The sequence below is a fragment of the Homo sapiens genome, chromosome 19 (genome assembly GCF_000001405.40).
Source record: "Homo sapiens chromosome 19, GRCh38.p14 Primary Assembly".
NCBI lineage: Eukaryota > Metazoa > Chordata > Mammalia > Primates > Hominidae > Homo > Homo sapiens.
Window position 1 is genome coordinate 52,577,453 of NC_000019.10, and position 12,570 is coordinate 52,590,022.

The 12,570-nt window shown below is 44.9% G+C and overlaps 1 protein-coding gene across 14 annotated transcripts in view, besides 1 other annotated feature; it reads left to right on the top strand.

The window, feature by feature from the left end:
- Positions 1 to 12,570, top strand: part of ZNF701 (zinc finger protein 701) — a 29,863-nt gene that overhangs the window by 7,166 nt on the left and 10,127 nt on the right. For 7 of the 14 annotated variants that reach the window (NM_001433681.1, NM_001433682.1, NM_001433684.1 and 4 more), the window contains one exon: positions 4,750 to 9,722. In NM_001433681.1, coding sequence (NP_001420610.1) covers positions 4,750 to 6,005 — 1,256 coding nt within the window. In that variant the 3' untranslated portion in view covers positions 6,006 to 9,722. Of the gene's footprint in view, positions 1 to 4,749; positions 10,474 to 11,079; positions 11,162 to 12,570 lie in introns of those variants that run through there. The other 7 variants (XM_047439071.1, XM_047439075.1, XM_047439077.1 and 4 more) reach the window with 6 other exon arrangements.
- Positions 10,833 to 11,052: a silencer, noted in NCBI's record as "fragment chr19:53091538-53091757 (GRCh37/hg19 assembly coordinates)". NCBI's record gives its function as "represses an EF-1alpha promoter that drives an FKBP-Casp9 reporter gene in an ReSE screen in K562 erythroleukemia cells {active_cell/tissue: K562}" and the evidence as "EXISTENCE:reporter gene assay evidence [ECO:0000049][PMID:32094911]".

The window sequence follows — 12,570 nt, forward strand, 5'->3', positions numbered from 1 at the left end:
AGTCATAATACAAATTAGATACAGAGATGATCATGGACAATTATCAATCATTAGCTTTTAATATTACTCTTTGTTGCATTATTAATATAACCTAGGAATAACTGGCAGGTATAGGGTGAGGTGCTGAAGGGACATGGTGAGAAGTGACCTAGAAGGCAAGAGGTGAGCCCTCTGTCACACCCGCATAAGGGCCGCTTGAGGGGTCCTTGGTCAAGCGGTAACACCAGTGTCTGGGAAGGCACCCGTTACTTAGCAGACCGCGAAAGGGGGTCTCCTTTCCTTGGAGGAGTCAGGGAACACTCTGCTCCACCAGCTTCTCGTGGAAGGCTGGATAGTATCCAGGCCTGCCCGCAGTCATCCGGAGGCCTAAACCCCTCCCTGTGGTGCTGTGCTTCAATGGTCATGCTCCTTGTCTACTTTCATGCTCCTCCCGTACTCCTGGCTCCTCTTTGAAGTTCATAGTAGATAGCGGTAGAAGGAATAGTGAAAGTCTTTGATCTTTCTTAGAAGTGCATAGAAGAGCCGGGCGCAGTGGCTCTTGCCTGTAATCCCAGCACTTTAGGGGTCCAAGGCGGGCAGATCAAGAGGTCAGGAGATCGAGACCATCCTGGCTAACATGGTGAAACCCCGTCTCTACTAAAAATACAACAAATTAGCTGGGTGTGGTGGCGGGCACTTGTAGTCCCAGCTACTCGGGAGGCTGAGGCAGGAGAATGGCATGAACCCGGGAGGCAGAGCTTGCAGTGAGCCGAGATCGCACCACTGCACTCCAGCCTGGGCGACAGAGTGAGACTCCGTCTCAAAAAAAAAAAAAAAAAAAAAAAAAGAAGTGTATAGAAGAAAACGCTAACGTATGCTGCCTTCTCTCTCTGCTTTGGCTACCTAAAAGGCAAGGGCCCCTTGTCCTATGATCACGTGACTTGCTTCACCTTATCAATCACTTAGAAGATTCACCCTCCTTACCCTGCCCCCTTGTCTTGTATGCAATAAATATCAGCGCACCCAGCTGTTTGGGGCCACTACCTGTCTCCGCGTCTTGATGGTAGTGGTCCCCCAGGCCCAGCTGCTTTCTCTTTATCTCTTTGTCTTATGTCTTTATTTATTACAATCTCTCATCTCCGCATAAGAGAACACCCGCTAAGCCCGCAGGGCTGGACCCTACACCAAAGCGCTGCGATTACAGGCGTGAGCCGCCAAGCTCAACTATTGTTATTATTTTAAACAGTTTTGTCTTTTAGTTCTTTGTAAACATGTAAATGGTTTAAACATGATTCCAGTGTGAATATAACAACTACGTTAGCGTCCATTTCTTTTATTTTTGTTGAAACGGAGTCTTGCTCTGTCGCCCAGGCTGGAGTGCAGTGGTGCGATCTCGGCTCACTGCAAGCTCCACCTCCCGGGTTCACGCCATTCTCCTGCCTCAGCCTCCCGAGTACCTGGGACTACAGGCTCCCGCCACCGCGCCTGGCTAATTTTTTTGTATTTTTATTAGAGACAGGGTTTCACCGTGGTCTCAATCTCCTGACCTCGTGATCCACCCGCCTTAGCCTCCCAATGTGCTGGGATTACAGACGTGAGCCACCGCGCCCCGCCGTGCCCATTTCTTTCAGTAAACAGAAATGAAGTGTGTTGTATAGATAAAATAAAAAGGCATGAAAAAAACACTGTACATATATGTTACCAGAAATGCAACATACACAGAAATAATTCCGACAAAAATAAAAAAAGTTCTAGAGGAGAAGTAGTTTTGGGAAGTGGTTATTGTTGCAGGTATGTTAAAGATCTTAAAGTTGGCCAGGCGCGGTGGCTCACGCCTGTAATCCCAGCACTTTGGGAGGCCAAGGCGGGTGGATCACCTGAGGTCAGGAGTTCAAGACCAGTCTCAACATGGAGAAACCCCGTCTCTACTAAAAATACAAAATTAGCCGGGTGTGGTGGCGGGCACTTGTAATCCCAGCTACTCGCGAGGCTGAGGCAGAATTGCTTGAACCTGGGAGGCGGGGGTTGCAGTGATCCGAGATTGTGCCATTGCACTCCAGCCTGGGCAACGAGAGCGAAACTCTGTCTCAAAAAAAAAAAAAAAAAAAAAAAAATCTTAAAGTTATAGCATAATAATGAAACCTAAAATTTTCATAACCTGGCCAGGTGTAGTGGCTCATGCCTATAATCCCAGTAATTTGGGAGGCTGAGGTGGGCAGATCACCAGAGGTCAGGTATTCAAATCCAGCCTAGTTAACATGGTGAAACTTCGTCTCTAGTAAAATTACAAAAATTATCCAGGCACGGTCGTGGGTGGCAGTAATCCCAGCTACTCAGGAGGCTGAGGCACGAGAGTTGCTTGAACCCGGGAGGTAGAGGTTGCAGTGAGCTGAGATCGCACCGTCGCACTCCAGCATGGGAGACAGAGTGAGACTCCATCTCAAAATAAATAAATAAATAAATAAATAAATAAAGTTTCATAACCTGCAAAAACTACTTCTCCTCTAGAATTATTATTATTATTTTTTTAGATGGAGTCTCGCTCTGTAGCCCAGGCTGGAGTGCAGTGGCACGATCTCAGCTCACTGCAAGCTCCACCTCCCGGGGTCACACCATTCTCCTGCCTCAGCCTCCCGAGCAGCTGGGGCTACAGGCGCCTGCCACCACACCCGGCTATTTTTTATTGTATTTTTAGTAGAGATGGGGTTTCTCTGTATTAGCCAGGATGGTCTCAATCTCCTGACCTTGTGATCCATCCACCTCGGCCTCCCAGAGTGCTGGGATTACAGGCGTGAGCCACCGCGCCCAGCCTTTTTAGAAATTTTTATTTTTGTCAGAATTATTTCTGTGTATGTTGCATTTCTGCTAACGTATATATACAGTGTTTTTTCATGCCTTTTTATTTTAAAAAATTTAGTTCTGAACTGGGATTACAGGTACCCACCACCGTGCCCAGCTAATGTTTTTGTATTTTTAGTAGATATGGGGTTGCACCATGTTGGCCAGGCTGGTGTCGAACTTCTGACCTCATGATTCACCTGCCTCAGACCCCCAAAGTGCTGGGATTACAGGCATGTGCCACCGTGCCCGGACATTAGTCAATTCTTATTCCTTATAGTGCTGTGTATAGTTTTGACCTCATACATCAGAAAGTAGTGACCTTAACATGTATTTCAATTCTTATGTTGTGTACTAGTGGTAAGTACAAGTTGTGGCTTTTTTCTTAATAGGGAATTGTTTACAATTCTGCAGGCTGCATACATGTACTTATTATTTTCTGGCTTGTTTTATCAAGCCAGAAAATATTTATCAATATTTTATTAACTGATTTTTATGACTTTACCTGTGAGTTTTCAGTATGTGATATGCAATATAACTGACACACTCCACTCGTTACTGTCACAAAGTGCTGCTGGGCACAGTGGCTCATGCCTGTAATCCCAGGACTTCGGGAGGCTGAGACATGTGGATCACCTGAGGTCAGGTGTTTGAGACAAACCTGGCCAATATGGTGAAACCCCATCTCTACTAAAAATATAAAAATTAGCCGGGCATGATGGTGCATGCCTGTAATCCCAGCTACTCAGGAGGCTGAGCAAAGAGACTTGCTTGAACCCAGGAGGCAGAGGCTGCAGTGAGCCAAGATCATGCCATTGCACTCTGTCCAGTGACAGAGTGAGACTCCATCTCAAAAAAATAAAAATACAAAATTTTTAAAAAAAAGTCACAAAGTGCCTGTTCCACATGGATATAGATAATTTTGTAACAGTTATTTAGAAAAATACGGTGTTAACATTTTTCTTTTTGAGAGGTAGTCTCACTCTGCCACTCAGGGTGGAGTGCAGTGGCACAATCTCAGCTCACCACAATCTTGGCCTCGCGGGTTCAAGCAATTCTCCTTCCTTAGCCTCCCAAGTAGCTTGGATTACAGGTGCCCACCACCACACCTGGCTACTTTTTGTATGTTTAGTAGAGAAGAGGTTTTGCCATGTTGGCCAGGCTGGTCTCGAACTCCTGACCTCAGGTGATTTGCCTGTCTCGGCCTCCTAAAATACTGGGATTACAGGCGTGAACCACCATGCCCTGCCTTGTTTCTTTAGAGATGGAGTCTCACTTTGTCACCCAGGCTGGAGTGCAGTGGTTCGATGTTGGCGCACTGCAACCTTTGCCTCTTGGCTTAAAGCAATTCTTGTGCATCAGCCGCTTGAGTAGCTGGGACTTTATAAAGGCGTGGGCCACCACACCTGCCTAATTTTTGTAATATTTTCTTATCTTCTCAGTGCTATGATTCTTTGACAATACAGAAATTCCATTGATTTTGATTATCCTTACAGGAGCTTGTTGTGGATTATTTACCAAAATAGTACCTTGTCTGGTTTTTTAGCATTTATTTATTTACACTAAGTACCCTATAAATATGAAGAATATATATTTTTCTCTTCTTTGATGTGACAGTGATACGTCTTTTGCAAAGTGTGATACACTTTAGGGTCACAGTAGAAAAACACTCCTGACTTTAGGCTTACACATGTTTGTGCCCTGTCAGTGTTTCGTCATGATATTGGAAATAGGCTTCCATAAAAATGATTTGAAGCACATGCAATCACCCTTTATTTATTAAAGGATCTTACTCCTTTTGTGTTCCTAAACTTTGAAGATCATGTTTGGGAAGTTTAAAATAAGTATTGTTTTTTATGTAATATTTACACATTTCAGTATTGTATAACTTCCGTACTTAATTTGAAACCTATTTGTGTTTATATTTTGTAGATACCTCTTCCAAATGCATGATGAAGATGTTCTCATCAACAGGACAAGGCAATACAGAAGTGGTCCACACAGGGACATTGCAAATACATGCAAGTCATCACATTGGAGATACTTGCTTCCAGGAAATTGAGAAAGATATTCATGACTTTGTGTTTCAGTGGCAAGAAAATGAAACAAATGGCCATGAAGCACTCATGACAAAAACCAAAAAGTTGATGAGTAGTACAGAGCGACATGATCAAAGGCATGCTGGAAACAAACCTATTAAAAATGAGCTTGGATCAAGCTTTCATTCGCATCTGCCTGAAGTGCACATATTTCACCCCGAAGGGAAAATTGGTAATCAAGTTGAGAAGGCTATCAACGATGCTTTCTCAGTTTCAGCATCCCAACGAATTTCCTGTAGGCCAAAAACTCGTATTTCTAATAAGTATAGGAATAATTTCCTCCAGTCTTCATTACTCACACAAAAACGGGAAGTACACACAAGAGAAAAATCTTTCCAACGTAATGAGAGTGGCAAAGCCTTTAATGGTAGCTCACTCTTAAAAAAACATCAGATAATCCATTTAGGAGACAAACAGTATAAATGTGATGTATGCGGCAAGGACTTTCATCAGAAGCGATACCTTGCATGCCATAGATGTCACACTGGTGAGAATCCTTACACGTGTAATGAGTGTGGCAAGACATTCAGTCACAATTCAGCCCTGTTAGTTCACAAGGCAATTCATACTGGAGAGAAACCTTACAAGTGTAATGAATGTGGCAAGGTTTTTAATCAACAATCAAACCTTGCACGTCATCATAGAGTTCATACTGGAGAGAAACCTTACAAATGTGAAGAATGTGACAAAGTTTTCAGTCGCAAATCACACCTTGAAAGACATAGGAGAATTCACACTGGAGAGAAACCATACAAATGTAAGGTTTGTGACAAGGCTTTCAGACGTGATTCACACCTGGCACAACATACTGTAATTCACACTGGAGAGAAACCTTACAAGTGTAATGAGTGTGGCAAGACCTTTGTTCAAAATTCATCTCTTGTAATGCATAAGGTCATTCATACTGGAGAGAAACGTTACAAGTGTAATGAATGTGGCAAGGTTTTTAATCACAAATCAAACCTTGCATGTCATCGTAGACTTCATACTGGAGAGAAACCTTACAAGTGTAATGAATGTGGCAAGGTTTTTAATCGAAAATCAAACCTTGAACGTCATCATAGACTTCATACTGGAAAGAAATCTTAGAAGTGTAAATTTGCAAGGTTTTTAGGCAACAGTCAAACCTTGCATGTCATCATAGACTTTATACTGGAGAGAAACCTTACAAATGTGAAGAATGTGACAAAAGTTTTCAATTTCAAATCACTCCTTGAAATACATAGGAGAGTTCATACTGGAGAGAAACCATACAAATGTAAGGTTTGTGACAAGGATTTCGGGTGTGATTCACACCTGGCCCAACATACTGGAATTCACACTGGAAAGGAACTGTACAAGTGTAATGAGTGTGGCAGAGCCTTTGGTGGTCAGTCAACACTTACTCACCATCAAGCAATCCATGGTATAGGGAAACTTGACTAATGTAATGATTGTCACAAAGTCTTCAGTAATATTACAGCCATTGCAAAACATTGGAGAATCCATAATGAAGGAGGTCTTACAAGTGTAATAAATGTGGCAAGTTTTTCAGACATCATTCATAACTTGCAGTTCATTGGCGATCTTATACAGGAGAGAAATCTTACAAATGTGATGATTGTGGCAAGGTCTTCAGTCAAGCTTCATCTTTTGCAAAACGGGAGAATTCATACAGGAGAGAAACCTCACAAGTGTGATGATTGTGAGCAAAGCCTTTACTTCACGTTCACACCACATTAGATATCAGAGGATCCATACTGGACAGAAATCTTACAAACGTCCTATGTGTGGCAAGGTCTTCAGTCCGAGGTTACTCCTTGCAGAATATCATAACGTTCATTTTTGAGGTAATAGTTACAAATGCGGTGAGCACAGCAAACCATCAAGGATTGACAGTAGAGTCAATTCAGAATTGACTTGAGTTTGAGTTGACTTAAAACATTCAGTTGAAGCATTAATTGACATTAAAGTGTTTATGTTAAGAGGATTGGGCCAGGCGTGTGGCTCACGCCTGTAAATCCAGCACTTTAGGAGCCCAAGGTGGATAGATCACTTGAGGTCATGAGTTTGAGATCAGCCTGGCCAACAGACGTGAGTCACTTTTCCCAGCCTGCTTTTTGTTTCTTTAACAAAAACCAATAGGGGTTTTTATAGGTATTGTGTTGAATCTGAATCACATTGGCTTATATAATAACAATATTGATTTTTCCAAACCATCAATGTGGGTTGTATATATATGTTTTTAATCATTTTGGTTAATGTTTGTAGATTTCAAGGTGTGAAATTCTCAGTTTTTTTATGTTTATTCCTAAGTATTTCTTACTTTAAGATCTCTAGCAAATGGAAGTGTTTTTTAATTTTCGTTTAAATTTTTTATTGTTTATGGAAATTCAATTAATTTTTGGTGCTGCTATTGCATTGTGCAAATCCACTGAATGTGTTGATTAGTTCCAGTAGTATTTTGGTTGACTCAGGCCCCGCCCACCTCTTCGCCTCCCGTCTGGCCTGACCCAGGCCCCGCCCACCTCCTCGGGGGTCTCCCCGCGGGTCTGGCTTCTGTACTGTGCTGATTGGCACAGACCCGGAAGCTGATGGCATGGACTGAAGGTTGCCCCGTTGAGTTTGCGCTTCCCAGTTCTCTGGTACTGCTATACCGGGGACGTGGGTGTCTCCACAGACCTGGAAATTCCGGCCCCTCTTTCTCAACTCAGAGCAAATTGAGACGTCCGGGTGGGAGTCCGTGAGTCTTTTCCTTTTGAGTTTAAAGTCGCCCTGAGGCTGGTCCCGTCCCGGTCTTTTCTGCAGTAGGGCCGTGCAGACACCTCCTGTAGCGAAACTTTCCTTCTCAAAACCCTTCCCGACCCGTCCTCCCGCCTCGCGCTGTTTCAGGTCCTCACCAGCGAGTTGGACTCTCGCCCTGGGCTCCTCATCGGCGCCTGGAGGGCAGCGCTGCAGCCCCACTCCCGGGAAGGCCGCGTCCTCTGCCTGGTCCTGGGATCCTGCAGACCCCACCCCTGTCCGAAGGCGCCATCGCCCACCACCTCCCTCCTCGTGCCGGCCCTGCTTCTCCCCAGTTCCAACCCCAGGAAAACGTGCTTCTCCTGGAGGCAACCCTCTTTTTCCACCCTCGCCCTGTTGTTCCCGGAAGGCAGGCCTGGAATGTGAAGTTTCCAGGTAGATGGATATTAAACATAGAATTGAAGAAAAAAAAAAAAACCCCACAAAGTAACAAAAGAATGAAGCGGCGAAAGCAGAAATTTACTCAACCAAGAAAGCACCCCACAGGGTGGGGGTGGGCCCAAGCGAGCGTCTCCAGGGCCCCATTTACAAAGTTTTTGGAGGTTATTTTTTTTTGAGGTCCCTATGGGCTACCCCTTATCTGGATGAAGAATTTGGCCCTTGGCCAAGGAAATAACTGAGGTAAATTGGCCTGAGGCCAGAGCAGATGGGTGCCCTATGCAGATGAAGGGGTGGCCGGTGCTTGGCCTTGGCCACTCCTGGGCTCTTTCTCTTTCCACCTGCGACCTGGTGGAAGGGGGAGGGTGTTAGGGAGAGTAGCCTTTGATCCTTTGTTACTTTGGGTGGGAAGATGGGGTTTTTCCTTTTAGTCTAGTTTTGGAAAGTTCGCGTTAATTGGTTTTAGATTCCCTGCCTCCCTAGACCCAGGACCCATGTGGTTTTTTTTGTTTTTGTTTTTGTTTTTTTGATGGAGATGGGGTCTTACTCTGCTGCGCAGGCCGAAGAGCGGTGACCGGATCACAGCTCACTGCAGCTTCAACCTCCTGGGCTCAAGGGATCCTCCCACCTCAGCCTGCAGAGTAGCTGGGACCACAGCCGCGCGCCACCACACCGCGCCAATTTTTGTGTTCTTGGTAGAGACCGGGTTTTGCCTTGTTGTCTAGGTTGGGCTCCAACTGCAGGGCTAAAGCGATCCAAGAGCATCAGCCTCCCAAAGTGCTGGGATTACAGGCTTGAGCCACCATGCCCGCCTTATTTCTTAATTTAAAAAAAAAAATGTATATGTAGACTGAACGCGGTGGCTCATGCCTGTCATCCCAGCACTTTGTGAGGCCGATTCTCCTCTATCCAGGAGACGGGTTTCACCATTTTGCCAGGTTTGTCTCAAACTCCTCGGCTTAACTGATCCGCTTGCTTTGGCCTTCCAAAGTGCTAGGATTACAGGAGTGAGCCACCACACGTAGCCAGTCCTGGCATTTTGTAGAAGGATGGCCAACGCAGCCTGTTGACCCTTCCTGGCCATCACATGAAAATCAGCGACTCTTCCTTCTTACAAAACTCGGAGCTTCTCAGGATAACTTGGTGAAACGTCCCCCGCTGTGAACCTCAGTGAGCCCACCTGTAATATACAGGTGAGGGAGAAGACCAGAAAAGCTCAGTCAGAGTGACACTGACCCCTGAAATGATGGGCACAATGGAGTGTGTGGCTTTTCCTGTAGGACAGGGAGGTATTTAGTTGTAGTTTGAACTTTAAAGGATTCCAGTCCTCCGAAAAACAGGATTAGACTCAAATCACCTTGAACCTTATCATCTCATGGCTTTGACCCACCTACATGGCTCCGTGTCCCCTGCAGGCCTCGCCCCGGAGCTCTACAATCCTGTGTGCAGTTGTCTCCGCAGCTCTCTGCTGGGACATCAAACAGGCATCTCCACCTTCATGTGTCTATAAGTGACTTCCTAAACCCCCAAACACATTCCCTTACAGTCCTACACATCTCAGATGAGGGTGACAGTGTACTTCTGGGTGCTTAGCTGAGGTTGACACCATGTATTTTAAATATGGAAAATAAATTACATTATTTGTAAGTGTTGTAATTTATAATGTAAAGAGAAAATTACATGTATACATGAAAGGAGTGAGAAAGTACATCATTTCCAAATTTATTTTGAGGTGTGGGAGAAAAATGTTTCAAGGCCTCATCCTTAGGGATCTGTGCTCCCGGGACCCCTCTGACTTCATCTCCTGCCTGTGTCCTCCTCACTCCCTCTGCTCCAGCCATACAGGCCTCTTTCCTTTTTCTGGGACTGAGGTTGCTCCTATCTCAGGGACTTCTCCTGGGCTGTCCCTCTGCCTAGGACTCTCTGGCCCCTCAACTGCAAGTGACAAGCAGCCTTTCTTCCCTAAGTCTTTGTTCTGATATTACTTTCTCTATGGAAACCTTTGTGATCTCCCACAGCCCCCCACTTGACATTGCAGCGCCACCTTCACCCCCACCTCTGGTCCATGTTGCCTGTTCTGTGTGATTCTTTTAGCTCCTTCACCGTTCACTGGATCCTGGTGAGAACAAGTCCGTAAGCGGAGAGCAGAATCAGAAGGTGGGGCTGTGCTGGGCTGGCGCCATCTGAGTGGAGCTCAACCCTGACTTCACATTACAGTTTTCAGGCATTTTGCAAATATATCTTTTGTTCTGTTTTATCAAAGATTGCTATTATCATAGGATGGGACACACCCTCAATAATACAATGGCACTGGTGATTCTCATCTGTGTCCAGCATTGAACATCAAGGCAGTTTCCTCCATATTGAGAACTGAGATCAGCCTGTGATCCACAGGGAGGTGAGGGGGCTGTGCTCTGCATGGGGTTTGGTTAGGGCCAGATCTGTGTCCTGAAGATCTGTGTCTTGCTGCATCGTGTGCGTGGACTTTTCCATCAGGGGAGCAAAATCCAAAAACAAGTCAAAATTACCCTTGTAGGTCTTCCTGTGGGATGTCCTTATGTCTGCATAATCTCTGGTGCAGTGGGCAGCAGAGGACCATCTTTGTCCCTGGTGAGGTCTCCCCTGTGTGTGTGTTTTGTCACAGGAAAGGAGGGAGTGATTTCTAAACACTAAATCTCAGCTGGGTGCAGTGGCTCACATCTGGAATCCCAGCTCTTTGGGAGGGTTGGGTGGGCAGATCTCAAGGTCAGGAGATCGAGACCATCCTGGCCAACATGGTAAAACCCCATCTCTAGTAAAAATAGAAAAATTAGCTGGGCCTGGCAGCGCATGCCTGTAATCCCAGCTACTTAAGAGGCTGAGGCAGGAGAATCACTAGAACCAGGGAGGCAGAGGTTGCAGTGAGCTGAGGTCATGCCACTGAACCACATTCTTGTGACAGAGCTAGACACCATCTCAAAAAAAAAAAAAAGAAAAATTAAATCTCATATTTTTTTACACACAGGATTGATTTCCAAAGACTCATGCTATGTAAGGAAGCCACCAAGAAGGGCAAAGAAAAGGAGCCAGGGACGGCTCTTCCTCAGGTAAAGTGATATTCCTCGGTGGATTCTTCTGTCTCCTTGTTTTCTTAAATACCAGGTATTGTGGTAGCCAGTCTTCTGTGATTCTGAAGCGTCCTAACTCACAAGTTTGCTCGCACTCACCCATGCCTTTTCTCAGTCCCTCTCATCTTAAATTCCATCTGCCTCTATTGCCCAGGCTGGAGTTCACTGGAGCAATCTGGGCTCACTGCAACCTCCACCTCCCAGGGTCAAGCGATTCTCATGCCTCAGCCTCTCAAGTATCTGGGATTACAGGTGTCCACCACCAGGCTTGGCTAATTTTGTATTTTTTGTAGAGACAGGTTTTCACCCTGTTGGCCAGGCTGGTCTCAAACCCCTGACTTCATGTAATCTCCTTGACGGTTTTTCACTGTTACCAAGAATAACACACTGGCTGCCTGTGAGCATGGTGACTTCACTGCAGATATCTGGAGAATTCCTGCAAAACTGATTACTTCTTTTTGGATTTGCTATTTCCTCTTTTACATCTGGGAAGATTCCATCCAGACCCCCAGCTGCAGAGGTGCCCTCTCTGACTGAGAACATGAGAAATTTCTCACTCTTTTAAGCAAATCTTACTCCTGTGGTCTTACCACCATGTTCTTTTTTGCATTCGGTGAAAATGAAAGCCCTTTTTATTTATATTTTCTATTCCTTGAGAGTCTGAGTAGATGTCATTAATCATGGACTTGTATATTTAAAATAGATTTTAATACTTTGCTGAGCATACTTTTCATGTGTTTTGAGAGCTATTTTGTATTCTTTAGTTCTTTATTTTTGCCCTGGTGTTTTGTTCACATTATGCATTTTTTTAGGATAAAACAGAAACGTTCTTTCACATGCCTGCTTTTTTTTTTTTTCTTTTAAGACGGAGTTTTGCTCTTGTCACCCAGGCTGGAGTGTAATGGCACGATCTTGGCTGACTGCAGCCTCCACCTCCCGGGTTCAAGCAGTTTTTCTGCCTCAGCCTCCCGAGTAGCTGGGATGACAGGCAGGTGCCACCACTCCCAGCTAAGTTTTGTATTTTTAAGAGAGATGGTGTTTCACCATGATGGCCATAATTTCTTTTGGCTTCTGAAATTAGAAATTTTTGGCCATTAATATCTTCCAACAGGCTTTTCTATTCCTTTCTTCCTCTCACTGTCTTCTGGGACTTCTGGTACTTTAAAAAAATTTTTTTGAGATGAAGTCTTGCTCTGTTGCCAGGCTGGAGTGCAGTGGTGCAAACTCAGCTCACCTCCAGCCTTTGTCACCTGGGTTTAAGTGATTCTCTTACCTCAGCTTCACAAGTAGCTGAGATTACAAGTGCGCACCACTACACCTGCCTAATTGTTATATTTTTCATACAGACAGGGTTTCTCTATGTTGGTCAGGCTGGTCTCGATCTCCCG